This window comes from Homo sapiens, chromosome 15 (genome assembly GCF_000001405.40).
Source record: "Homo sapiens chromosome 15, GRCh38.p14 Primary Assembly".
NCBI classification, from domain to species: domain Eukaryota; kingdom Metazoa; phylum Chordata; class Mammalia; order Primates; family Hominidae; genus Homo; species Homo sapiens.
In genome coordinates this window covers 39,906,547-39,934,427 of record NC_000015.10, presented here as the reverse complement: position 1 = coordinate 39,934,427, position 27,881 = coordinate 39,906,547, and the positions used below count along the sequence as shown (strand labels likewise).

General features: G+C 42.8%; 2 protein-coding genes and 1 long non-coding RNA gene across 6 annotated transcripts in view, besides 6 other annotated features; 1 reads left to right on the top strand and 2 right to left on the bottom strand.

Annotated features, from left to right (window-relative positions):
• The window catches only part of EIF2AK4 (eukaryotic translation initiation factor 2 alpha kinase 4), a 101,477-nt gene extending 101,164 nt beyond the window's left edge, over nucleotides 1–313 (bottom strand). The window contains exon 1 of the mRNA NM_001013703.4: nucleotides 89–313. Within this exon, the coding sequence (NP_001013725.2) occupies nucleotides 89–232 (144 nt within the window). The 5' untranslated portion in view covers nucleotides 233–313. The remainder of the gene's footprint in view (nucleotides 1–88) is intronic.
• Nucleotides 31–440: a silencer, noted in NCBI's record as "silent region_6314". NCBI's record gives its function as "represses an Ori minimal core promoter by ATAC-STARR-seq in GM12878 lymphoblastoid cells {active_cell/tissue: GM12878}" and the evidence as "EXISTENCE:reporter gene assay evidence [ECO:0000049][PMID:35858748]".
• Nucleotides 461–600: an enhancer, noted in NCBI's record as "active region_9218". NCBI's record gives its function as "activates an Ori minimal core promoter by ATAC-STARR-seq in GM12878 lymphoblastoid cells {active_cell/tissue: GM12878}" and the evidence as "EXISTENCE:reporter gene assay evidence [ECO:0000049][PMID:35858748]".
• Nucleotides 9,529–13,404, bottom strand: GPR176-DT (GPR176 divergent transcript). Of its 2 annotated transcripts, none has more exons than NR_184051.1 (2): nucleotides 12,742–13,404; nucleotides 9,529–11,641 (listed from the first exon to the last, which is right to left on the bottom strand). It is a non-coding gene; the product is annotated as a GPR176 divergent transcript (long non-coding RNA). The 2 variants fall into 2 exon arrangements; NR_184052.1 differs by having other exon boundaries at nucleotides 12,770–13,404.
• Nucleotides 13,308–13,707: a silencer, noted in NCBI's record as "silent region_6313". NCBI's record gives its function as "represses an Ori minimal core promoter by ATAC-STARR-seq in GM12878 lymphoblastoid cells {active_cell/tissue: GM12878}" and the evidence as "EXISTENCE:reporter gene assay evidence [ECO:0000049][PMID:35858748]".
• The window catches only part of GPR176 (G protein-coupled receptor 176), a 121,259-nt gene continuing 107,539 nt past the window's right edge, over nucleotides 14,162–27,881 (top strand). For all 3 annotated transcript variants that reach the window (XM_017021878.3, NM_007223.3, NM_001271854.2), the window contains exon 1: nucleotides 14,162–14,573. Coding sequence is in view for 2 of the 3 variants with exons in the window: in NM_007223.3 (NP_009154.1) it covers nucleotides 14,402–14,573 (172 nt within the window). In the remaining variant the exon portion in view is untranslated. The remainder of the gene's footprint in view (nucleotides 14,574–27,881) is intronic.
• Nucleotides 14,318–15,123: an enhancer, noted in NCBI's record as "H3K4me1 hESC enhancer chr15:40211506-40212311 (GRCh37/hg19 assembly coordinates)". NCBI's record gives its function as "activates a minimal SCP1, AML or CMV promoter by ChIP-STARR-seq in primed H9 embryonic stem cells {active_cell/tissue: H9 hESC(primed)}" and the evidence as "EXISTENCE:reporter gene assay evidence [ECO:0000049][PMID:30033119]".
• Nucleotides 16,721–16,827: a silencer, noted in NCBI's record as "fragment chr15:40209802-40209908 (GRCh37/hg19 assembly coordinates)". NCBI's record gives its function as "represses an EF-1alpha promoter that drives an FKBP-Casp9 reporter gene in an ReSE screen in K562 erythroleukemia cells {active_cell/tissue: K562}" and the evidence as "EXISTENCE:reporter gene assay evidence [ECO:0000049][PMID:32094911]".
• Nucleotides 25,453–25,953: an enhancer, noted in NCBI's record as "H3K4me1 hESC enhancer chr15:40200676-40201176 (GRCh37/hg19 assembly coordinates)". NCBI's record gives its function as "activates a minimal SCP1, AML or CMV promoter by ChIP-STARR-seq in primed H9 embryonic stem cells {active_cell/tissue: H9 hESC(primed)}" and the evidence as "EXISTENCE:reporter gene assay evidence [ECO:0000049][PMID:30033119]".

Sequence of the window (27,881 nt, the reverse complement as noted above, 5' to 3'; positions counted from 1 at the left end):
CGGCCCAATCTGGAAGTGTCCGGGCTTTGGCCCAGGGCCCGGGGAGGCCAGGGCACGCCAGCCCGGGCCTGACAAGCCACGTTCCTACCGGTCCGCAAGCGTCCGGCCGCAGGTCTTGGAAGTCCGCGCCGTAAATGGCCTCCAGGGCCTGTAGCTCGTGGTCCTGTCGTTGCGGGTAGCTCTCCGGAGGCTCGTCCCGGCCGCGCCCGGGGGCCCCACGGCCCCCAGCCATGGCAGCGCTGCGCCCAAGGCAGGGCGGCCTTGCCTGGGCGGCGGTGGGCCCCCGGCAGCCTGCGGGGCGGGGCTCCGCGCTGGGGACGGGCTATGGGCGGTGTTCCACGCTGGAAACGGGCTCGTGGGCGGGGTTCCGCGCCGGGGACGGGCCGTAGGCGGAGCTCCGCGCCGGGAGCTAGCTCCGGAGGCTCCAGAAGCCCAGGCGAAGGAAGAAGGCAGGGGGACAGCTTTGCCCACATCCTGCTGGGGGAAGGGGAGCAAAGGAACTCCACGAACTTAAGAAATGAATCACAGATAGGAATGAAAACGCCACATTGTATAGTTTTCACGAAACAAGTATCTTTAACAGAAGTGCTTGCTGGAACTTCTCCACCCTGGCATGGCTAGTGCGGGAAACTCTTTTTTCTTTTTTTTGGCAGAGTTTCGGCTCTTGTTCCCCAGGCTGGAGTGCAGTGGCGCGATCTCGGCTCACTGCAACTTCCGCCTGCCGGGTTCACGCGATTCTCCTGCGTCAGCCTCCAGAGTAGCTGGGACTACAGGCGCGCACCACCACGCCCGGCTAATTTTTCTATTTTTAGTAGAGATGGTGTTTCACCATGTTGGCCAAGATGTTCTCGATCTCCTGACCTTGTGATCCGCCCGCCTCGGCCTTCCAAAGTGCTGGGATTACAGGCATGAGCCACCGCGCCCGGCCGGGAAACTCTTAAAGGGCAGACGTCGATGGGTTCTGAGGTCACTTCTAATTTCACCTTGTACCTTCCCAGAACAAGACTACCGGGAGTAAAAATTGTGACCCCCCCCACCCTCCTTCCTCCCACTTTAGTACCCCCAAACTTATTCTCTGAGCCACAGATTCAACACCCTCATTATGTTCTCTGTCTCTACATTCCCCAGCTTTGGGGATCTCCACTACCACCTTGCAAATTCAATTGAAAACTGTCTTTCCACTCAGGCATCTTTATGAGCTACCTTCCCATGAAGAGAATCATGTTCCCTTCCCAGTTCACTCAGTGTGAATTTAGGGAGTCTTTGTGTTATATCCTGCCTCAAGTCGTCGTTTTTCAAGTTTATAAAATAATAACCTGTCTACCCAGACATTGTTATTGCACTTCATCTTCAGTAACTTACTAATGCTGCATGTCCATTTCGAATAATCCTATTGTACTAACCCAAGTTAGGTTTAAGTGACGTTTCTTCTGTCTACCTTGCTTACTCCTCCACTGTTCACTAAATAATGATTGTGTAAATTCCTTGCTGCCATCTATCCACTCATTTCTGGCCAGATAACACAAATGCACTAGCTTGACCCAAGGCCAATTTAAATCATCATCTTCCCTCTGCTGGAGACCCGTTCCTTCTCCAGTGATCTCTGACTAGGTAAATGGCACCATTCAACTGAGTGTGATTCTGAATTCCCTTTCTCTCAACTCACATCCAAATAGTCACCACTTCTGTCCATCCACTACACTCTAACCCATTGCCACTAACTTAGTTCAGGCTACTGTCACCAATTCCCTGGGTTACTTCAATAACTCTCTTAATTAGTCACTGTCTTCATTCTTGCCCCACATTAAGCCATTCTTCCTATTGCAGCCAGAGTAATGTTTCTAAATTGCAAATATGGCCATTGCACTCTAATCCTTAAAATTACTCCATTTCTCTATTGGTCTTTAAAAAAATTCTTTTAAACCTATATTTATGAAAATGTCAAACATACTTAGAAGTAAACTCCTCTGTACTCATCATCCAGCTTCAACAACCATAGATATTTTGTCAATTTTATTTCATCTCTTCTCTCCATCCCTCAGGAGTGTTTTTTTTAAGTCTCAATCATATCATTTTAAAAAATAAATACCTAAGGATATATCTCTAACTAGAAAAGGAACCAACATAACATATTACTAATCTTATACCCTAAAAATGTAACCCTTTGGCCAGGGACAGTGGCTCACACCTGTAATCCCAGCACAAGGTGGAGGATCACTTGAGGCCAGGAGTTTGAGACCAGCCTGGGCAACATAGCGAGGCCCCATCTCTACAAAAAATAAAATAAAAAATTAGCTGGACGAGGTGACATGTAGTCCCACCCTCAGGAGGCTGAGTGGGAGGATTGCTTGAGCCCAGGAGTCCAAGGCTGCAGTGAGCTGTGATTGCACCACTGCACTCCAATCTGGGCAACAGAGTAAGACCTTGTCTCTTAAAAAAAAATTAACAATTTCTTAGCATCGTTTAATACCTAATCTATGTTCAAATATTTCCATTGTGTAAAATTAGAATCTATACTGGACGCTGGACCTATAAAAGATATAATTAAAACAAACAGCAAAATTTGAAAGGAATCTGTGGATTACATGGCAGTATTATACCAAATGCAGCATTAAGGGGGCAGTGACGTATTAAATATGCAGTTAGCTCCCAAATGATTCAGGAAAAAGAAGAGAGATGATGCTAAATCAAATGTAGAATGTTGAACATTGGAGAATTTAGGTGAAGGATATATGAGAGCTCTTTGAGTGACTTGAAAATTTTATGTAAGTTGGAAATTATTTTAAAGTCAAAGTTCAAAGCAAAAAAAATAAGAAACTGTCAAAGTGTTTTCCAAAGTGGTTGTACCACTTTATATTCCCATCAGTTTATGGGAGTTCCAGTTGTTCTACCTCTTTGCCAGTAATTGGTATTGTAATGTTTTTAATCTTAAACATAGTAATTGGTGCTTAGCAGTATCTCAGTGTGTCTTAACTTGCATTATCCTAATGATTAATGATGTTGGGCATCTTTTCATGTGATTATTTTCCATTCATATATCGTCTGTCTTCTGTTTTTATTCACATCTTTGGTGCATTTTAAAAATTTTGTTTTTGTTTTCTTATTAACTTTTGAGAAATATTTATATATTCTGGACATGTATTTTTTTTTTTTTTTTTGAGATGGAATCTCACTCTGTCACCGAGGCTGGAGTGCAGTGGTGCGATCGCAGCTCACTGCAACCTCTGCCTCCCGGGTTCAAGCAGTTCTCCTGCCTCAGCCTCCCGAGTAGCTGGGATTACAGGCATATGCCACCACGCCCAGCTAATTTTTGTAGTTTTAGTAGTGACGGGGTTTCACCATGTTGGCCAGGCTGGTCTTGAACTCCTGACCTCGTGATCTGCTCGCCTCAGCCTCCCAAAGTGCTGGAATTACAGGTGTAGGCCACTGCACCAGGCCGGACATGTCTTTTATCAGATATGTGACAGGCAAAAATATTCACCCAGTCTGTGGCTTGCTTTTTCATTCTCTTAACTGTATTTCAAAGAGCATGTTTCTTACTTTAGAGGACATTTAATTTGTCATTTTTTTCTTACATGAATTATGTTTTGCAGTCATATCTAAGAAATATTTGCCTATCCCAAGGCCAAAAAGGTTTTCTTCTATGTCTTCATCTAGATAGTGTTAGATTTTACCTTTTGGCCTATCATCCATTTTAGTTAAAAACTTAAGCATATACCTACTATATGAAACAGCAATTCCATCCCAGGCATTTACCCAAGAGAAACAAAAGCGTATGTCCATACAATGACTTGTATGTAAATATTTGTAGCACCTTAATTTGTAATATCCCCAAACTGGAAACAAACCAAATGCCCACCAACACAAGATGGACATATTGAAGTATAAACAAATTGAGGTATATCAATACAATGAAATACTATTCAGCAATAAAAAGAAATACATTATAGATACAGCAACAACATAGACAAACTCAAAATAATTATGCCGAATGAAAGAAGGCCGACATAGAGTACACACTACATAATTCCATTTACATAAAATTCTGAAAAATACAAATTTGGTAACAGAAAGAAGATAAGTGGTTGCTTGGGGATAGGGAGGACATAGAAGAGCCAGGTGGAGGGATTAAAGTGGAACAAGAAGAAACTCTTGGGAGTGATGTCTGTATACATTCATTATTTTGATTGTGGTGATCATGTCACAAGTATATGCATATATCAAAACTTATCAAACTGTACAATTTAAATATATGCAATGTGTTATATGTTTACTATACCTTAATAAACTGTTAAATGAAAAAAGGAAAAGGTCATTTTTTTGTTTTGTTTTGTTTACAGTGGTTTGTTTGAATCAAAATTCAAACAAGGTCCACACATTGCATTTGGTTGCTGTATGTGCAATACGGGGTTAACTAAGCAGGCTTGCGATGTATAAACTCCGTATATTTCAAAGAAAAGATTTGCCCATGACTGGCTCCTGGGAGATAACCTCTAAGTCCTTGAGACATTCTGCCTCATAAGGATGTCTTTGTATACTTGGGGTTCACAAACCAACTCATCAGGACACCCCAACATTTCCTTCTTCTCCAAGTACTTCCTAAACCTTTAGATCAGTCTTCCAAAGAAGAGTCTCTAATCCTATATGTCCTTCTTGCTCCCCCAAACTACATCTCCTGGTCTTGCTGCTTGCCCTTGATGTTCCAAAGAGAAGCTCTCAGATTTTGGTCACTGTTTCCCAAATTTTAAAACTGCAATCCCTTTCCCCTTCATTCTTGAAGGATATTTTCATTGAATATAGAATTCTGGGCCAACTGTTATTTTCTTTCAGTACTTGAAAAGTGTGCCATTTCTCTCTGACCTACATGGTTTCAGTGAGAAATCTGTTATCATTCACATTGTTTTCCCACTAAAGGTAATGTGGCACTCCTCTTTGGCTACTTTCAAGATAGTTTTTTTGTTGTTGTTTTTTGTTTTTGTTTTTGCTTTTGTTTTTGTTTGAGACGGAGTCTCGCTCTGTTGCCCAGGCTGGAGTGCAGTGGTGCAGGCTGGAGTGCAGTGGTGTTATCCTGGCTCACTGCAACCTCTGCCTCCTGGGTTCAAGCAATTCTCCTGCCTCAGCCTCCTGAGTAGCTGGGACAACAGGTGCACGCTGCCCCACCTGGCTAATTTTTTTTTTTTTTTGTATTTTAGTAGAGACAGGGTTTCACCGTGTTGCCCAGGCTGGTCTCAAACTCCAGAGCTCAGGCAATCCCCAACCTTGGCCTCCCAAAGTGCTGGGATTACAGGCGTAAGCCACTGCACCCAGCCCTCAAGATAGTTTTCTATGTCTGAGTTTTCAGAAGTTTGACTATGACATATCTTGTAAATTTCATTTGGCTTATTCTGTTTAGAATTTGCTTCACTTCTTGAATCTCTAGGCTTATGATTTTTGCCAAATATAGGAAGTTTCCAGCCATTACTTCTTTGAATACTTTTCCAGCCAACCCGTCTCCTCTTCCGGGAGGTGAAGGCACTTGTTCTTGCAGCATACTGTGACTTAGCAGCCAGGAGCAGAGCGGCAACACTGTTCCTGCTGCTCAAGAAAGTCTGAAATAAAAATTGTTAGTGACTTTTGCATTACTTTGTGGGTGTTTGTGTGCATTTACATATTTATGTACCCGAATGAGTCTTGCCCTTTAAATTTTGGAATAAGTATATACCTTTATTCCACAGCCGTGTCATTACTTCAAAGTCAGACTATGAGTCATAGTATTTTATATCCATATTCCATCTTTTACTAAAGAATATTACTACCTTAATCACTTAATTCACCAGAATTTGTCTTAGATAACATTTGGCTCTTTAAAATAAATCCAATTTATTCTTAAAGGACATATTTATTATAATAAGTGATACAGGAAAAAATGTGTCAGCTTCCAAAATTAATTATAAAAGAGAAGTCCTAAAAAGGTGCTGAGAAATCATGATAATCTTCAGCAGCTAAATACCTTCCCAAGGTGACTCCTTTGAAGGTGATAATACTCATGGATATTTTAGTTTGACATATTTGCTATTAAAAATTAGTCTGGGCTGGCTGGGTGTGGTGGCTCATGCCTGTAATCCCAGCACTTTGGGAGTCTGAGGTGGGCAGATCACGAAGTCAGGAGATCGAGACCATCATGGCTAATAGAAACCCTGTCTCTACTAAAAATACAAAAACAAAAACTTAGCCAGGCATGGTGGCGGGCCCCTGTAGTCCCAGCTACTTGGGAGGCTGAGGTGGGAGAATGGCGTGAACCTGGGAGGTGGAACTTGCAGTGAGTCGAGATTGTACCACCGTACTCCAGCCTGGGCAACAGAGCAAGACTCTGTCTTAAAAAAATTAGTCTGGGCCAGGCACAGTTTCTCACACCTATAGTCCCAGCACTCTGGGAGGCCAAGGTAAGTGGGTTGCTTGAGCCCAGGAGTTCCAGACCAGCCTGGGCAGCATGGCAAAAACTTGTCTCTACAAAAAATATAAAAATTAGCCAGGCATGGTGGCATGCACCTGTAGTCCCAGCTACTTGGGAGGTTGAAGTGGGAGGATCACTTAAGCCCAGGAGGTCGAGGCTGCAGTGAGCTGTGATTGCACCACTGCACTCCAGCCTGAGTAACAGAGCAAGACTCTGTCTCAGATAAAATGAAATAAAATAAAGGTAAAAATTAGTCTGTTTGCTTTATGATCACTATGTGTGTGTGTCTGTGTGTATGTGACTATTGAGGCTTCCTGGAGAGGGAGGGAAGGAATATTCAAGTTCCCCCTTCCCAGATATTCTTGATGAATTTAACAGGAAGTCTGTAGGTATAAGGACTACTAGAAACTCCTGATATACCTTCTAATGCCATTTTCCTGGGAAACTGCATTAGGAGATATATTCATAGATTCATGTAAGTAGAAAACCGTTTCCCAATCCACATATTGCGATAATTTGGAATACATGAAGGGCTGTCTTATTATCTTTTAAACAGATAATTGCTTTGGATGGTAATTTAACATGCCCAAAACTAAGAACCATAAAAACTAAACATATTTAGGCCAATGATGTAAAGGCTAAATTCTGGACTTCTAAATCTTCAAGTCAAAATTCCCCCAAAGCCACTGTGTCCTTTGTTAATTCCAAAAAAGTGATTTTTTTTCATTTTTGAAATATAAAGCTTGTATTTTATTTAAATCTATAGCAAGAATTTTTTAAAATCTTAGATGGTGACTTTTCCCCTTTTTGATATTTGATTTCTTTAAACATCAACAAACAGGAATTGATCTTATATAGTTGCCCTTTATTGATGGCCTATAATGTCTCACTGTCAGAGGTTTTTATTGATTCAATATTTTGTTGTCCTCAAAACAGCCTTGCAAAATAGCCATCTTTATTTCTGGTAGAGGAGAAAACTGAGTTTAGAGAGGTCAAGTAACTGCCCAGTGTTACTTGAACACGATTGGAATGGTTCTATCTTAAATGGTTCTATCTTCGAGAAGATAGTCATCTACTTGAAGCAGCTCATCAGCACCAACAAGGAGACTACCTGTGACTGTAAGTTACCCCATCGAAGACATCAAGATCCCCTGCCTCTGTAGCTCCAAGAACTGCTGGGGACCCTCAACTAGGCCCTGGTGCCAGACTCAAAGGATGTCAGCCACAGCCTGGGGCTCTGGAGCATGGAGCCCAAGGCCCAGGGCCCCGGCCCCGCCACCTGCCCCCATTTCAGGTGCTGTCCTCTACCCAGTGGCCATGTCAGGGCCTGGTGCACCCACACTACACCTAGGAGCCCCTGGCTCCGGCCCCTCAGCAGGAAAGGGCTTCTCTATTGTTCAGCCCGCTTCTCTCTCATTTTTAAAAAATGCCCCTTTCAGAATTTTGTTTAATTTCAACATCAGCTTCTCTCTCTCTCCATCTCTCTTCCTCTTTCTCTCTTTTCTCTTTCTGGTTGTTATCCTTGGCCTCTTACCGTGAATGCTGCTACATTGTTTTGTCTTCTCTATTTTCTTCCTCATCGTGAGAAAAGATATTTTAACCATTAAAACCAATAACAACAACAACAACAACAACAAAATATTCAAGAGGTACAACTGACATCAACATTCATACTCCCTTATCTCTCCATATTAGGTTCTTTATCTTGAGAGCGTTAGTAGAAATCTGTATAAAGAGACAATCTAGGTCTCCAAGAAAAGAGAAATGGGTTATTGCCTACCCCAAGCTTAAGTACTCTCCAAAAAGCTGTTTCAACAACATAAGTTTATCAGAGACCAATATGCTTTTTTTGACTTGAAAAGCCCAATAGTTTAATTCAAAGATGCCCAGAGGCTCCATTATCAGCTACCATCTTTCATTTTACAAGGACCTAGGATATCCTTTTTGCCACTACTAATAAACACAGAATATTTTTAAAGTCCTGACTTAAAACCTTCCATTCCCCAGAAATACAATCTGTGCTCTCTTAAATATGCAGGCCCCAATTTTCATAACAATGTCTGCCAGGATAGGCTGGGTTATGCTGTGATAATAAGCAACTCCAAAAATCATGATTACTTATACAACAAAGTTTTATTTCTTATTCATACAAACTTGTTGTGTGTCTGGGTGGTTCTCCAGGGCATTTGCCCTCCCATATGGTGACTGAGACATAGACTACTTCAATCTTTTGGCTCTTCCGTTTCAACATAAAGCTCCTTCCACAATTGCAATGGCAGAACAGAAGAGAGATTTGAGAATCACAAACAACTTTTCACTGCCTCAGCCCACAAGTGACTCGTCACTTTTGCTCACATTTTATTAGTCATAATAGTCACATGACCCTGCCCACCTGCAAAGGCAGCTGAGAAATATAGTCTTCAGTATGCCTGGAAGAAGAGGAAAACGAGATATTGTTGAATATTAGTAATGTCTACACAATAATCTGCATTATCTATGTCTTTTTACATTGGCATAGAAATAGCCATTTGGAAATAGAACTGTTTATTCCAGATGGGTAGCCAGGGGCCATAAAAACTCCTCTTTTCTCAGCATGCTGCTGCTTGGGCTTACCAATACAAAATACTTCCATTTCTCCAGCTCTTCTCTTCTCTCCCTGTTTAGTAAGAGGCCACATGGGGGCATGTGAGGGTGTGTGATGGGGAGCAGGAGGGAGGAGGAGACCTTCAATGATAAGGAGGAAGAAGAAAGGCAACATAAAACCTTTATGTTCCCCAACTACCTCGGTCTTTGCAATGATCCTAAATCCTATTCCATCTCTTCTTCCCTCCACCGAACCCTCCTCCTGCTTTTCAATAAATACCTAAGAAAGTTGGAATTGGGAATTCTTCTGAACACAAAGGTAAGACAAGTGATTATCACCTAAACAAGGTTAAGTACTTGTTGGAAAAGTATTTATTAGCACTTATGTGATTTGGCCTATCACTACACTCACAAAAGTATAAGAGAAAAACAGAGAAGGAAAGAGTTTTTTTTTTTTTAAAAATTATGTATGGCATTAGGGTTCTCCAGAGAAACAGAACCAACAGAATAAATAGACATATAGAAAGAGATTTATTACAAAAAATTGGTTCATGGAGTTATGGAGGCTGACAAGTCCCAAGATCCGCAGTTGGCAAACTGGAGATTGGCAAGCTGGAGACCCAGGAGAACTGATGGTGTAGTTCTAGTCAAAGTCCAAATGCCTGAGAACCAGGAGAGCCATTACTGTTGTTTCAGTTCAAAAGCCAGGAGGCTCAAGACTCAGGAAGAGCTGATGTTTCAGTTCAAGTCCAAAGGCAGGAAACAGCCACCGCCCCAGTTCGAAGGTAGTCAGGCAGAGGGAATCCCCTCTACTCAGCTTTTTTGTTCTATTTTAGCCTTCAACCATTTGGATAAGGGCCACCCACATGGGGGAGGACAGTCTGCTCTACTCAGTCTACCCATTCAAATGTTAATTTTATCCAGAAACACCTTCACAGATACACCCAGAAATAATGTTTTACTACCTATTTGGGCATCCCTTAACCCAGTCAAGTTGACACATAAAATTATCATGACAACTAATTAAAACTTTGGAAACACAAGGTGCCTCTACGTTGGGAGGATACCTTCTTATACTATTCATTACAGGAGAGGACTGGGAGGAAAAATTACTTTTAACAGCATTATCTAGAGTGAGAGGTTGCCTATTTTTTTACTCCATTTCCCATTAACTGCTTTGAATGTAGCTTCAGAAAGTTTTGAATAAAAATTAGCTAGCACATAAATGTGTTGGCTGGTAATTCTAATCACCTGCCTTCACCTATGGCTGGGTATCTGATTGCTGCCAGGTGTTAACACTTACCAGCTCATATCAATGTAACAACTACTGTGGTCTGAATGTTTGTGTCCCCAGCCCCCCAAATTCATGTATTGAAACCTCATCACCAATATGATGGTATTAGGGGATGGGATCTTTGGGAGGTAATTAGGTCATGAGGGCTCTGGTGCCACAGATGAGATTAGTGCCTTTATAAAATAACCACTAATAGGAACCAGGTGTTTTAACATGTGCCTGTAGTCCCAACTACTTGGGAGGCTGAGGTGGGAGGATCGCTCAAGCCCAGGAGTTTGAGGCTAGCCTGGGCAACATAGTAAAACCCCTGTCTCTAAAAAATAAAATAAAATAAATAAAACTAGGGGTACTAATAAAAAAGGCACCCTTCTACCACATGAGGAGACAGCTAGAAGACACTATCTGTGAACCAAAAAGCAGTCCCTCGACAGGCACTGAATCTGCCAGAACCTTGAACCCGGACTTCCCAGTCTTCAGAACTATGAGAAATAAACTTCTGCTTTTTATAAGCTGCCCTGTATAAGGTATTTTGAACTACTATAGTCTGAACTTCTATAGACTTAAACAATACCTGTACCTGGTAAGTAATTGAAAGGGACTGTAATTTATGTGTTTTTTGACCTTTTCAGGTTTAATTTCAGAAAAAAAATCTGAAATGGTACATTTTAGTTTTTGTTTTGTTTTGTTTTTTTGAGACAGAGTTTCACTCTGTCATCCAGGCTGGAGTGCAGTGGTGGTACCAGCTCCCTGCAACCTCCGCCCCTGGGTTCAAGCGATTCTCCTGCCTCAGCCTTCCGAGTAGCTGGGATTATAGGTGACTGCCACCACACCCGGCTAATTTTTGTATTTTTAACAGAGACGAGGTTTCGCCATGTTGGCCAGGCTGGTCTCGAATTCCTGACCTCAGGTGATCCACTGGCCTCAGCCTCCCAAAATGTTATGATTACAGGCATGAGCCAACATGCTCAGCCTGAAATGGTACATTTTTTTTTTACAAAAGGAAAACAGATATTAATATTATGGGAGATTATATTTTCCTTAAATGACTGCAATAATATCTCTACTTAATCTCTCATTCCACATGCTCTTCTTATAATGTGACTAACACTCCTCCCAATTAGTGTCCCCTTTACTTAAATGTGGTGTTTTTGTAGCTGCTTCAACAAGTAGAGTACAGTGGAAGTGACGCTGTACAACCTCTGAGATTAGGTCATAAAAATCAATGCAAGCTGGTCTGAGTCTGAGTGCAGTGGTGTTTACAACTAATTGATCACAACTACTTTACAGATTTCTTTGTTCCTTCTCCACTCCCACTGCTTCACTTGGCTAACCTAAAAAGAAAGAGAGAAAAAAAAACGTCAGTGCAGCTTCTGCCTTGTCCTCTTGGGACTCTTGTCTCTCTTGGGATGCTCACTTTTGGAGCATAGCTGCCAGGCTGTGGGGAAGCCAAACAGCCACATGGAGAGGCCACATATAGATGTTCCAGCTGAGTTCCCAGTCAACAGCCAACATCAACTGCCAGACATAGAGTGAACAAGCCTTCAGATCCCAGACCCAGGCAGCAACGCTGAGCTACACTTCTGGAGTTATGCTCTAAGCCACGAAATTTGTTATGGTTTGTTGTGCACTGGTAGATGACCAGACAATTATAAAAAACACTACTACAGACATTTAATACATATTTAAATCGTGTCCAATCTTTTACATCACAAATCTTAAGATCTTTTGACTCATCCTTAAAAAAAACTCATACAGCACACAACTATTAAGAATTGTGCCACTCTATTCCTGTCTTTAGCCCTTCATTTTTGAGAGGCAATCCTTCCTCAAGTCTGAGAATCATGGTGATCTCAGCTGATTGGGTTATTTCTTGATTCTACTGACCATATACCCTAACACCAATTGAGGGGTTGTAGAGAATTTAGTGATATCTTTTCAGAATGAAAACATGAGAGCGGTTTCTTGCTTTCTCCATTCTCTACACTTGCAAAACTGATTCTTTTCTATACCTTTATCCCAACTGTTACTAGTTTTGAATTCGGGATGGAGGGTGAAGATGGGTAAAGGGATATTTTTATAACTGTTATCAAACAACTCTATTTACACAGATTCTTCAACCCTTCCTAAATGAGTATGCTGGATGTTGGTGAATTATTATAATTTTTGGTTTCTAATGATTATAGTGTAAGGGGTTTTATCTTGAAAACTATGTTTGGACTCCTGGAACTAATGTTAACCGCTGGTAATGGCGTTCTTGGGGGTAAAATACAATTAGTGTAATTAGTAATTTTCCGTCTCTTTCTCTTTCCCCTTTTTGGTCTCCAAAATGTTTAAAATAATTCTCACATAGATTACTATGTGAAGGTATTGTGAAACTCCAAATATGTACAAGACACGGATTTTTACCCTTTCAAGAGTAAATAAGGATTACCAGTGAAAAGGAAATAGCCATATTGTACCAGGATCATCCTTGGGGCAACCAAGGAATAACTGTAGTTTTAATCAATTCTCGAGTTGTTGTCCTTGGTCCCAGTCACATAATCAACATGTCAAAGTCTTCTACCATGTACCTCACTTATTAAAAAGAAACGAGTTTCCATAAAGTCGACCACGCATCTTTGTTCTCTTTATCCCAGATCCTCTCTCTGCATCCGTAGTTTCCTCTCCCACTTGGCATCTCTTTACCATTTCTTCTTGTTTACTTGACTATCCCAGCTCCCAACATTTTCTGTCCCGGAATCCACTAAGCCTGGGTTATACTGTGTACATGTTAGAAATGATATTCAATAAAAAGGCCCAGGAAACCATGCACTGAGTTCCTATATTTCATTTTTCTTAAATGCTCCAGCTACACCCAAGGACTGACTGAGGGGCCGGGAGACTGGGCTCCGTGCCCAGGTGGCAGGGGCGTGTAATTCTAACACCGCAGGCAGCCCCTGCTGACGAGATACAGAGGAGTAACGACAGTTAATAGTAAACGAAGCGAAGCCCCGGGAGGTGTAGCGAGCATGTCCACGACAGCCAGTCACTGATCCTCCGGCCTCCCACGCTTCCAGCCGAGACAGTCACGCTCCGCGGGGCCAAGATGGCGCCCTCCCCGCGGCAGCCTGGGCGCGAGGGGCGGGGTCGCGCGTGCCACGTGACCATCCTCGCCAGCCGCGCGCCCCCGGCTGCCCCAGGCGCGCACCGAGTCTGGCGGCCGCGCAGACGGTGCCACTGCCCCACTGGGGGCGTCCTCCTTCGTCCCCGCCCGGCTGTCAAGCTGTGTTCTAGCGGCCGAGGGACCGAGGGGGGCTAAGAAAGGGGGCGCCCAGCCATGCAGAGGCAAAAAGGCGCTGCGGAACGGGGTCCCCGTCGCCAGTGCTGAGGCAGGAGGTCGGAGCCACAAGTGAGGGGCTGGGAAGCAGGACCCAGCACGGGCGTCTTGGCAGGCGGCCGGGCGCAGGGCCAGGCTGCTGGGGACGCTCAGGGCTTTCCACCCAAGCCATGGGCGCTGTCGGGCACTCGGGGGTCCCCTCGTGGCTCCGGCCACTCGGCGTGGGCATTACGTTGGCTTCACATCGCCATCCAGCCTCGAAGCCAACAGGACTGAAAAATAGCTTCGGCCAAACGTTCTCCTCCCGCTAAGGAGAGGGGTCGAGTGCGTCAGCCCGAGGGGACTGGAGAGGGATGCCCTAGCCCTCGAGGGGCGGAGGACCCGCGGTTGAAGGAGGCAGCGGGAGCGGAGAGCGCCCTCCTTGACCATCGAATGCCTCCTTCTGTGTTTCCATTCCTGTCGAGTGGGCTGGGCCACGCTGACCACCCTGGAGGAGGGACGGACGACGCTCGGCGGGCTCTGACCGTGCCGCCTTCTTGTGGCTGCTGACTGGGATCCAGGAGGGAGTGGGCATGGGGCGCAGCCGCGCCTCCCTCCCTCCCCGCCTCCCGGGCGCCGGGGTTGGCGATGTGGAGACGTGAGGGGACCCGTCGGCTGCTCCGGCTTCTCCAGGACTCCGCCAGGCGCCCGCGCGTCCCTCCTCACCCGGAGGAGGAGAGGCTCCGCGCGGGGCTCCGAGGCGGGCGGCGCGCGGAGCCGGAGTCCCAGCCTCGCCATGGGACATAACGGGAGCTGGATCTCTCCAAATGCCAGCGAGCCGCACAACGCGTCCGGCGCCGAGGCTGCGGGTGTGAACCGCAGCGCGCTCGGGGAGTTCGGCGAGGCGCAGCTGTACCGCCAGTTCACCACCACCGTGCAGGTCGTCATCTTCATAGGCTCGCTGCTCGGTAAGCCTCCCGCGGGGCGCCTCCGGACCGGGCCTCCCCGAGGGTACAGGCTCGGAGAGCCGGGAGCAGGGCCGCCCAGCCGCCGTGGGTTTCGGGTGCCTGGCAAAGTGCAGAGAGTTGAAGGAAGCTTAAGGATCCCGGGTAGCTGCAGTGTAGTTAAGCAGGGACGGTGGACTCCAGCCCCCACGCGGGAGCAGAAGAGTTCAAATAGGGCTTTCTCGTGGCCCGAGGATGGAGCGGGATCCAGGCGGGAGTCCCCCTCCTCAGATGGCCCCGGCGGAATGCTCCTGGGTGCCCGGCTGGCTTCAGCTCTTGTTTACAAATAGCGAGGAATAAAGATTCTGTGGGAATTTGTTACTGATAATTGAACGGAATGTTACCCATTCTGTTAAAGATGTTTTGCGATCCCATCTTTCCATATATATCTCGAAATAATAATATATACAATTATTTTGATAGACCCTTATTTTGTGCGTGTTTTACTGCGTGCTTCTTCGGAACACCAACCTGCTGGTAAACAACCCTGTGAAGTTAAACTGTATGTCGCCTGTCGATTATTTAAAAAAAACAAAACCAAACCCACTCTACTTCCCCATCTATGTGTTGTTTAAGGTACAGAATAAAGGTAGGATAAAACACACACACACACATCCCAGATTTAGGTATACTTGTTCAGGGAAGAAAAGATCAACGAATTAAAATGAGTGGCTAGTAAAATATTAGCCTACTAGTGTGAGAATTACCTGTACTTCTCACTACTCTTAAATGATAATAGTCTTTATCGCTCCTCTTCAAACGTTAAATGATACAAGCAATATTCATTTCTATTAAGGTCTGTTGAACATACTGCATACCACTTGGATATATGTGGCTTCCTTTCCTGTGTCCCCGATATGGCGTTTATAAGGATGTGGTGTTATTGGCAAGAACAGTCGTAAAGTTTCAAAGTAGGAATAGGTTACTTTTTGTAGACACTTGTGAATTTCTATGGAAACCAAGATAACTGACATTTAATAGACTATTTTTAGAAGAATTTCAGATGTTTGGAATTTCCCTTCATACTTTCTCTAATTGTCATCATTCCATTTTACTCTATCATAGTATTTCTCTTCGATTTTTTTGTTACGAGGATATTTTCAGGAGTAGATACTACTATTGCTATATCTAGGGGTGTGTGTGTGTGTGTGTGTTTTAAGATGTGTTTTTATGACTGGGATGTTAAATGCACATTAGCAAAGCAAAAGCCTATGTTCAAAATACTTTAGGTATTCATGATGCATTGTAGGTTATTGGGAGTTAAATTCTGAGTATTGTCACACTTAAAGTGTGGGTTATTGGAGAGGTAGTAGAAGTGACTGTATTTTTATTTCTGCAGGTTTTCCCCCAATATACATATATATACATACATTCATACATACATGTATATATATTTTTCCCTCCCCCACGGATAACTTTAACTCTGAAGAAAGGTGGTGTTGGGAGGAGAAATTCTGAGAAATTTTCTCATGGTTTGAGTCTAAAAATTTGAGTACTATTGAAGTAGAAGACAGGACATGTATGTAAAAGACATAGCAAATCGTAAACATTTAATGAATGTTACTTCTGTTATCCATGTCCTTTCCATTTTTGTAGCTTGCATTGGATTCAGGAATTTCTAGATAAATCTGTCCTTATTTCAGCTTTTCTCCACATAGCACTTGTGAGTGACATGCAAAACCTTCTTTAGTAGATGTCTCCAAAGGACAAACTGATTTCCTCTTGATCTATGGTGCCTGATGAGCTAAGGAGTCTTTTTTTTTTTTTTTTTTTTAGACAGAGTTTCACTCTTGTTGCCCAGGCTGGAGTGCAATGGCATGATCTCCGCTCACTGCAACCTCTGCCTCCTGGGTTCAAGTGATTCTCCTGCCTCAGCCCCCTGAGTAGCTGGGATTACAGGCACCCACCACCACGCCTGGCTAATTTTTGTATTTTTAGTAGAGACGGGGTTTCACCATGTTGGCCAAGCTGGTCTCGAACTCTTGACCTCATGATGCACCTGCCTTGGCCTCCCAAAGTGCTGGGATTACAGGCTGAGCCACTATGCCCGGCTGGGAGTCTTCTATTACCCCTTCCACGTTACATGGACCCTCCTAAAAGAGAATTCAATTTGCTCCTTTTTATATGCAGAAAAAAACCCATAAATATGGACAGTATGTCTGGTTTCCTTAAAAGTTCAGCTGGGCTTGGCGTGGTGGCTCACACCTGTAATCCCAACACTTTGGGAGGCCGAGGTGGGCAGATCGCTTGAGATCAGGAGTTTGAGACCAGCCTGGCCAACATGATGAAATCCCGACTGTACTAAAAATACAAAAATTAGCTGCATGTGGTGGCATGCACGTGTAATCCCAGCCACTCGGGAGGCTGAGGCAGGAGAATCGCTAGAACCCGGGAGACTTAGGTTGCAGTGAGCTGGGATTTCACTGCTGCACTCCAGCCTGGGCAACAGAGTGGAGTCTCCAAAAAAAAAAAAAAAAGTTCAATCACAACATTGCCCTGTATACCTGTTACTTATTTTTATTTTTTTTTTGAGACGGAGTTTCGCTCTTGTTGCCCAGGCTGGAGTGCAATGGCAGGATCTCAGCTCAGCTCACTGCAACCTCTGCCTCCCGGCTTCAAGTGATTCTCCTGCCTCAGCCTCCCAAGTAGCTGGGATTACAGGTGCCCGCCACCACGCCTGGCTAAGTTTTTGCATTTTTAGTAGAGATGGGGTTTCACCATGTTGGTCAGGCTGGTCTCCAACTCCTGACCTCAGGTGATCAACCCACCGCAGCCTCCCGAAGTGCTGAGATCACAGGCATGAGCCATGATGCCCTGCCTACGTACTGGTATTCTTGATTCATTGTTTTCTAAGGACTTGTCCCATTCAAACACATCTGTGTACATTAGAATTCTGATAATGTCTGTTGAGGCTCAGAGCTTAAGTTTCAAAGCCATGTGCAGTCAGAAGCAAGGCAAGAAAACTTGGGAAGCACATTTCATAAAGCCTCCAAATAGAGAAAAATCATAGATTAGGAATAAAAGAAAAGGAATCTGTATGATTGAAAAGTAAATTGTGGGAGGATGGAATAGTACCTGGAAAAAATAACTGATTAAGTAACTTACTTTTCTTATTTCTTCTGCCCCCAAACATAGACAAATTCGTTTTTCTTTATTTTTTTCTCTTGAAACAAATTTAAATATACTTCTTATATTCTCTAAATAGACTTCTTTTTTATTGGGATTTCCAGAGGACCATTATTATGTGAAAATAATTCATTTGTACTACTGGTGTCTTGTACCTCTTTTTGAAAACTGTTTTAGTGTCTTGTATTAGGAAAAATCCCTAAGAACTTGGAATAACTGTAATATTCCAACCAGAAGGAACATTATTTGCTGTGTTGAAAATGAACACAAGGCTTGTACATAATATTATTCAAATAATATGTATTTTGGGGGTTTGCGTAAACCAGTGTTTCTCAGCCTTCTTTATACAACATCTTGGCATATCTTTAGGTATGTTGTAGATACTGAAATAGAGTAAAATAATTTAGATTCCTCTTCAATGGCACCAATCACTTTTAGTAGTCAAGAGTGTGAAATCAAAGACTCCAAAAGATCTGGAATCACCATTTCCAATTGAACTGGAAATGGTGGATTGAACTCCTCAGAGTTAATATTTCTCTTTTTCCCCTTCTCCTTAGATTCACAGTCTAAGTACCAAGAGAACTGGGCTCCTCTCTGGTGCTTTGACTTGAAAAAGGTAGGTGGCTATGATCTAGCCTATTACCTCTGAGCTCCTCCTACACAGGTTGCCTGTCATCTGTGGCAATCATCATCAGAGGTATAAGAGATTTTTATAAATGAATTTGCTTTTATTTAAAGAAAATTAACATGGTGGGCAATAACCCACAAGTATGTATCCTACATTGCAATTTATTTTTTAATTCTTTTTGTTTTGAGATGGCGTCTCACTCTGTCGCTCAGGCTGGCGTGCAGTGGCACAATCTTGGCTCACTGCAACCTCTGCCTCCTGGGTTCAAGCAATTCCCCCTGCCTCAGCCTCCCAAGTAGCTGGGATTACAGGTGCCTGCCACCACGCCCAGCTAATTTTTTTTTGTATTTTTAGTAGAGACGGGGTTTCACCAAGTTGGCCAGGATGGTCTTGAACTCCTGACCTCAGATGATCCATCCGCCTCACCCTGCCAAAGTTCTGGGATTACAGGAGTGAGCCACTGCGCTCAGCTGATTTTTAACATTTTTTAAATAGAGAAATCAGCTTTCCTTTGTCTGGCTAGACCGCAAAATGTATGGTTCTTATTCTTAAGCTATATTCCCTTTCCTTTATAGACTGAATGTTTATATTCCCCCTCAAATTCATATGTTGAAGCCCTAATCCCCAATGTCATGTTATTAGGAGGTAGTACCTTTGGGAAATAATTAGGTTTAGATGAGGTCATGAGGATAGAGTTCTCAAGATGGAATTAGTAACATTATAAGAAGGAACTAGAGAGCTTGCCCTCTCTTTCTTTGCACCATGTGAGGATATAGCAGAAGGCAGCTGTTTGCAAACCAGGAAGAAGGCCCTCCCCAGAACCCAACCACGTTAGCACTCTGATCTCAGACTTCCTAACCTCTAGAACTGAAAGAAATGTCTATTTTTAAAGCCACCCAGCTTTTGGTATTTTGTTATAGCAGCTGGAGCAGACTAATACACTTATGAATGGTCTGTAGTGAGCATGTGAAATTGATGACCCCAAGTAAAGATCCAACTTGCCTGTGGCTTGATTCCATGAGGTGGTTATTGAAGTATTCATTTGAAGGGAAAGGTGGGAAATCGACTTGTTAAATCTGTTCAGCAGATCTGTTGGATAGACACTAGTTTTGCTCATGCTTGCTTATAGTCTTTGAGCAAAATCATATGGGGTACCAGCAAGGTTCATGGTACTTGTTTGATAGAGAAGTATACTTGTGCTTTTGATATTATTTGAAATTAACCAGAGAATAGCTGGATTATTCTTGGAGTTCCTTAGTTAAATGTTTGATAGAAGATGTGTTAATACTATAATACTAGTTTGCACTTATAATTTGTAATTACTCAGGATCATTTTTAGTTAACAATACTTACAGCCAATAATAATATAATATCAACAGCCTTACTTCTACATGGAGTTTCTGTCTTTTGTATGCCTAAAAACCTAGCAGACTACGTTAAGAATAAGGTATCCTGGGCCAGGTGTGGTGGCTCATGCCTGTAATCCCAGCACTTTGGGAGGCCAAGGCGGGCAGATCACTTGAGGTGTTCGAGACCAGCCTGGCCAACATGGTGAAACCCTGTCTCTAGTAAAAAATACAAAAATTAGCCGGGCATGGTGGTAGGCGCCTATAATCTCAGCTATTCAGGAGGCTGAAGCAGGAGAATGGCTTGAACCCAGGAGGCAGAGGTTGCAGTGAGCAGAGATCGTGCCACTGTACTCCAGCCTGGGTGACAGAGTGAGACTCCTTCTCAAAAAAAAAAAAAAAAAAAAAAGAATAAGATATCCTGAATTGATGCCTAAGGAGGCAGGAGGTGGTAGGATCAATAGTTACTAGCTTAATATATTGAATCAAATTGCCTCACATTGTCTTTTATTTCTATATGATGTCTATATGATAGAATTCTTCCTGGAAATTAAATTCTCTGGTGAAAATTTAAAAAAAGCTTTATTGAGATAAAATTCATACAATATAGAATCCATCCAATTAAAGAGTACAACTCAGTGGTGTTTTTTGTTTGTTTGTTTGTTTGTTTTTTGAGACTGAGTCTCACTCTGTTGTCCAGGCTGGAGTGCGGTGGCGCTATCTCAGCTCACTGCGAGGTCCGCCTCCCAGGTTCACGCCATTCTCCTGCCTCAGCCTCCCGAGCAGCTGGGACTACAGGCACCCACCACCATGCCCGGCTAATGTTTTGTATTTTTAGTAGAGACAGGGTTTCACCGTGTTAGCCAGGATGGTCTTGATCTCCTGACCTTGTGATCTGCCTGCCTTGGCCTCCCAAAGTGCTGGGATTACAGGCGTGAGCCACCGCGCCCGGCCAACTCGATGGTTTTTTAGCATATTCACAAAGTAGTGCAACCACTACTACTACTGAATTCCAGAAGGTTTTTATCATCCCATAAAGAAACCATGTAACCTAAAGAAACCATGTATCCTTCGGTAGTAGCACTGCCTTTTTCCCCTCAATACCTTGAGCCCTAGGCAATCACCACTCATTTAGTTTCTTTCCTTCTTTCTTTCTTTTTTCTTTTTTTTTTTTGAGACAGGGTCTTATTCTGTCTCCCAGGCTGGAGTACAGTGGTGCGATCTCAGTTCACTGCAACCTCCACTTCCCGGGCTCAAGTGATTCTGCAGCCTCAGCCCTCTGAATAGATGGGACTACAAGTGTGTGCCACCATGCCCATCTAATTTTTGTACTTTTTGTAGAGATGGAGTTTTGCCACATTGCCCAGGCTGGTCTCAAACTCCTGGACTCAAGCAATCCGTCAACCTCAGCTTCCCGAAGTGCTGGGATTATAGGTGTTAGCCTCCAGGCCTGGCCCTACTTTCTGTTTCTATAAATTTACCTGTTCCATAGATCTGTCACACAATATGTGGTCTTTTGTGACTGGCTTTTTTCACTTAGCATAATATTTTCAGGATTCATCCATGTTTTAGCATATATTAGCACTTTATTTTTTATTGCTGAATCATATTTCATTGTATGGATATATTACATTTTGTTTATCCATTCGTTTGATAGACATTTGGGTTGTTTCTACTTTTTGGCAATTATGAATAATGCTGCTCTGAATATTTACGTACAAGTTTTTATGTGGACATGTGTTTTCAGTTCTCTTGAGTATATACCTAGGAGTGAAATTGCTATATCATATGGTAACTCTTCTTTTTAGGAACTGCCAGACAGCTCCAAATATCCCTGGTTCTGTAATGAATATACTTTTGTTTTATTTGGTGACATTTTGTAGACTAGGAGGAAATTTGTCTCAAAATGGGAACAAAGAAACATAGCTATGTTTTCCTGTGGGATGTCCAAGTCTCAAAGTCTCTTGTCCCTAGAGTTTGCCAAACAATTTCTGCATATGTCACTTAATCTAAATCTAAATAAGCCATTTAGATTCTGTAGTGACTGGGAACTGTTGTGAAAGGTTGTTTTTTCCTTTTCTTTTCGTTTTTTTTTTTTTTTGAGACAGGGTCTCACTCTGTCACCCAGGCTGGAGTGAAGTGGTGCGATCACAGCTCGTTGCAGCCTCAACCTCTCAGGCTCAGGTGATCCTTCTACCTCGGCCTCCAAGTAGCTGGGACTACAGGCGCATGCCACCACACCTGGATAATTTTTTTTTTTTCTTGGTAGAGATGGGGTTTCACCATGGTCCTCAGGCTGGTCTGGAATTCCTGGGCTCAAGTGATCCACCCACCTCAGCCTCCCAAAGTGCTGGGATTACAGGTGTGAGCCACTTCACCTAGCCATGAAAAGTTTTATTGTCAGAGAGTTTCCACATTAGCTGGGTGGAAGATTGTTGTTAGTCATATAGCGCAAAAACAGAGGCATTTTTGCCTAGCCTGGAAGGTAGGAGTGGCTCTAGGCAAAATTTTGTAGTAAGGATTTACCCTAGGCAAAACTAAAAAATAAGAAAACTTTATCTTAAAAAAATCAACTCTCATTTTCAGTTTTTATTGCATGTCTTCTCATAAACCTCGTTTTCTTGTTCATTTTGGATGCCCAATGACCTTCTTCTGAGTTGCTGACTTGTCCCCTCTCTTCCAAAGTTAGCAGTATCTGTATTCCATTCCTTCATGGTGGCTAAATAAATCATGTTAAATGCAGATGTTAACAGATGTTAGTGTATTAAAGTATTTTAAAATAGTGATCTTTGAAGGTACTTTTTTTTAAAAGAAGATATCTTAAGCATAAAGGATGATTTGAACATTTCATATATTTGAGAGGTAAGAGAGAGAAATGGGTTGGATGGATCTTTTAAGTTTGATTCTACTAAAATTGTATCATGAAGCTAGGGATTATTGACAAAAGGAAACTAAGTATAAATAAAACCTCCCTTAACATACTGTAAGGCATGACCAAAACTCAATAAGCTAAGCATGTAGCCCTGAACCCTCTCAGTTATCACTGTATCAGTTTTTATAGAAAGCATCCTCCCACTGCAGCACATATGGAGACATTTCTTCATGGCTTCTCTTACTGAAAACTTTTGAATGCCCCTGCTCAAGGAGGAAATTTGTTGTTGTTACTATTGTTTTCTTTTGTTTTTGCATTTGCAAGCAATTTCCAGAGAAATGCCTTCAAACTGACTTGAGCGATATTTTGATCAGTGGCCACATTTCATTCGGAAGAATCATATACGAAACAGTTGTTTCTGGCCTGTACTGAAAACTTGCTTCACCATAAATGAGATACTGAAAAACTTTCAGATTAAGCCACAAGTGTTTAGGTATGCTGGCACTAAATAAGTTTGTAACAATGGTTTATTATCAGTTTTGGAATTGTTTATTTATTTTTTGCTTTTTATATTTTTTTCTGATTAAAGTTCCTCCTTAGGGACAAAATTACAGAGTTAGGGGCAAAGCATGAAACCTGTCCAGACTCTCTGGTTTACTCACTTTTTTTCTTTTGCAGAGTTTAAAAAATACAGAAAAAAATTAACAAATTATTATAAATCTACCACTCAGAAATAACAAATGTTAACATTTTGTCATGTTTCTTTCATATATTATTTTATTTTATTTTATTTTATTTATTTTATTTTTTTGATACAGAGTCTCACTCTTGCTCAGACTGGAGTGCAGTGGTACAACCTTGACTAACTGCAACCTCTGCCTCCTGGATTCAAATGATTCTCCTGCCTCAGTCTCCTGAGTAGCTGGTATTACAGGTGCATGCCACCACGCCTGGCTAATTTTTGTATTTTTAGTAGAGATGGGGTTTCACCATGTTGGCCAGGCTGGTCCCGAACTACTGACCTTAGGTGATCCGTCTGCCTTGGCCTCCCAAAGTGCTGGGATTACAGGTGTGAGCCACTGAGCCTGGCTGTTTTATAAAAATAAAATGTTGCAGGTACAGTTGAATCTCCCCTATTCCTCTCCTCAACCTTTTCTATCTTGTCTATTCCAGAGCTAGTCACGGTGCTGAATTTGGTGTACAGTATAAACTTCTTCCTGTCTTTGTCCTGTTGTTTCTGCCTGTTGCTTGCCTGTGATCATGAAGTTGGTATTTTTTTTTTTCTTTTTGAGATGCGGTTTGCTCTTGTTGCCCAGGCTGGAGTAGAGTGGCGTGATCTCAGCTCACTGCAACCTCCCCCTCCAAGGTTCAAGTGATTCTCCTGCCTCAGCCCCACCAGGCCCAGCTAATTTTGTATTTTTAGTAGAGATGGGGTTTTACCATGTTGGTCAGGCTGGTCTTAAACTACTGACTTCAGGTGATCCACCAGCCTTGGCCTCCCAAAGTGCTGGGATTACAGGCATGAGCCACCATGCCCGGCTGAAGTTTTTACCAATTGATACCGATGCTTTCTGTGTAATTAGGTACCTTTGACTTATCTCCAATGTGGTAACTCCCAACCAAGAGTATTGCATTAGCCTTACATTTACACATTTATAGTTTACAACATATACCACATTATTTCTTTCAGTCATCATAATAACCTTGTGAAACAATGTAGGGAGCATTTTCTGTTCTTATTTTCTCAGCACATCCCTTCCTCCTAGCAATATTGCTCTCCCACAACACGTGCACTTCCACTGGTGATATTCCCTTCCTGTATTCATCAGCGTTCTTAGTTGCAGACAACAGATCCTCCTGTCAAAAGAAGACACAGCTATGAAAGCATTTAAAGAAAAATGTTTCCTTGTGAAAATGGATTGCAAGGGAGTTCGGGCTTTAAAAGGACTAGCTTGCCAAATGAAATATACAACAGGTAATTAAAAGAAAACCTCAAGATTACCAAATTTACAGTTATTATGTTGGTTGTGAAAAAAAGCTAGTTATTTCATGAGTGTTATAACCTCAAAGATTGTATCATCCCTTCAGATATCAGCATTAAAAGAGAAATAACTTTGTGAAACAACAAAGTTGTTTGTATTGGAAAGCAGTAGCTTAAAGAAAAGGCTCAAGTTTTCATTTATTTTGAGAACCAGAACTACATAGAACGGCCTTAGTCTTTTTAAATGTATGTCTTTGTTTTGGGAGAGGGAAGGGGTTCTGGCTGCAAGTGTTTTGTTTTTCTTCTGGCTGTAGGGTGTAATGTGCACCCACTTGCATAATGCAGCAGGACAAAGCATTAGTTTTACTTCTGTATCAAACTAGCCAGTGTATGAAGAAAGAAATTTATTACAAAGTATTATGTTGCTTTTAGAATTTATGAGAGGGTCTGGGAACCAAGCTTAGATGCCACAGAGCCAGGGACGCAGTCAAGAAATACGTACAGTGATTTCACTGTTCGAGCAGAAACCATGAAGCTGTTGCCATGTACCAACTATTACGTGAGGAAGTAGTCACATAACCCTAGGACACAGCTGGTCCAGAAGAACCAGAGGCATCCATCATCTCCCTGACCTTACAGAGAGAATCTGATGGCTCTGCATCCAGCCCCTACCCCACATTAATCACGTCCACTTTCCTTGGGAACATCTGTTGGGCAGAACCTGTATCATAAGCCTGCACCCTCACTGCAAGCCTGTCTGGAAAGTGGTGTTTTAAACTTTCCAGCCTTTGTAGCAGAAGGTAGCAGGTGGTTGAAAGATTACAGAGGGAATATTGAGTGAACCAGACTACAGTATCTGCCACTTTATACTTTGTGTGGTTTTTTAAAATATGACTTCCCCTCACAGTACTCTGTATAGCCCCACTCCCACCCTGGGATACAAGGGTGAGCACATGATTCAGGCTTTACTGATCCCAGTATCCTATTTCTTTGTCCATGAGGATTAGACCAGGAATGGTCATAGGATCCAAGCTTGATCAATCAAATCAATCAACGTCCTTGATATAGAGATGTTGCTAAAGGCGCCATCTTTTTCCACAGGGGCTGATAAGCAGGGATTATAGAAGCCAGGAGTATCTGCTTAGGAGAGAATGAGGATAGAGAGAGAAGCAGAGGTGAGGGTGAGATATAGACACAGGGAGTAGGGGGAGAGAATGAATCCTGATGATATTGTTTGTATCCCTGGAGGGCCTGAGCCTAATTCTACCCCTTGTGTTTTCCAATTACATGAACAAAAAAAAGAAAAAAAAAAAAAGAAAATCTCCTTTATTGCTTAAACTTGTTTGAGTTGGGTTTCTGTCACACAAATATCCTGACTGATAACATATAGTATTTTTGTACTGTTGGCAGATAAGTCAGATGTACGATTCATATCCTACATTTGCATGAACAAGTTCAGGGGGTTAGTGACTCATTTAATAGCACATTCTCACAGCCCTGCAGGGCCTGATGCAATGGAAATCAGATGCCCAGAAGAACAGCAGCTGCAATCCAGAGCCTGGAGAATTGAGCAGGAGCTAGGGATGGCCTGGCAACTGAAGAGATGCTCATAGACACTGAGGAGGATCATAAAGCCTGCCAGTGGAAGAAGGTGGGAGGAGAAAGTCATGCTTAGGCTCCAAGAGCCCAGGGATGTAAAGAAGGCTGGAAGCTGTGGGACTGGCAAAGGTTCATGGATGTGCAGAGGCAGAGGTCCAGGGGAGATTTTACTGGACCAGGAAATACTGGGGCAACTGTCCCAAATCAGCACACAGCCTCTGATTCTTTTTGTCTCTTATTTAAACATCTATTTTTTTTAAATTTTGTTTTGTTTTTGTTTTTGAGACAGGGTCTCACTCTTTCACCTAGGCTGGAGTGCAGTGGCATGATCTCGGCTCACTGCAACCTCCGCCTCCTGGGTTTGAGCAGTTCTTCTGCCTCAGCCTCCTGAGTAGCTGGGATTACAGGCATACGCCACCATGCCCGGCCTAAACATCTATTTTTAATCAATAGCTTTTTATATATAAATAGTTTCTGATAGTTAATTAACATAAAAACCTAGTGGCAAGAAAAAAAATCTAGCTGTGTTAGAAAAGGGAAATATTGGCACTGTTCGATGTAGCCCCCCAGAAGATGATGAACTCAATAGCCTCTAGGTCATAAACCGGCTTCAGTTTTCCTGAATGTTTATAAGAGCTTCTGGGGAAGTCAGCAGGCAGGGAGGGCTAAGGGTGAGTTCTGGAAACACAGCTCTTGCTACAGTCAATTATGGGGTGTGGATGAAATACTGGACATATGGCAGGTGTATGGTTGGGAAAATGAGCTGCTCCATGTTTTCTGGTTTAGATGGCTAGTGGCCAGCTCTCAGGATTGTCAAAACAGAACTCTCCTTTGGGGGTGAAATGAGTGTCCTCAGCTGATCCAAGCTCAGGGCTTGGAGGGCAGAGCGGGAGCTTTGTTAGCACAAAGCCCAGGCATCCAAATGGAGATAAGAGTCTGGGCTAGATCACGTGGGCATTGTCAAGTTAAATAGACAATGCAAAGGCAGAAGGCACCGAGCAAGAGGTGAAAGGTGGAGAGGAGCAAAGCAGAGAGATCCTGAACAGCCTCTAAACTATTTTTATGTTTCTTTAACTCATCAAGCTTAATACTTGCAAAGACCATTGACTTTGCTGTTCTCTCTGCCTTAGAATGTTCTTTCCTAGATGCGTCTTATGGCTGGCTTGTATCCATCCTTTAAATTGCAGCTCAAATGTCACCTCTAACGGGTCTTCCCCAATCACTTCTATCACATCACTCTGTTTATTTCCTCTGTAGCAGTTATAACTCCAGAAATTATCTTGTTTGTGTGGTGTTCTCCCTTGCTCCATTAGAATGCAGCACCTTGAGAACTGGGACTTTATTTCATGCACTGCTGTGTCCCCAATATTTAGAACAGTGCCTGGTGCATAGTTTGTGCTCAATACATAGTGATTAATTGAATGAAGTGCTTGGGGACAGTTACATAGGATGATTAATTAATCACTATTTTGATTTGCATGAGACTTAGGGGCCTTGTGAAAATAAACATGAATTTCATCCATAGCCAGGATTCAAACACACATGGCCATGCCCAGTGAACTAAAGTGGTGCTTACAAAAGCCAGATATCCGGAGGGACAACAGGTCTCTTGATAGGAAATCCACAGGGGCAGAAGGTTTCACCTGATTTAAATAAGAATGAGCCTATGACATAAGACAGGCAGCATTTTAAACCAGGCAGCATAATGTGTGGGGGATGT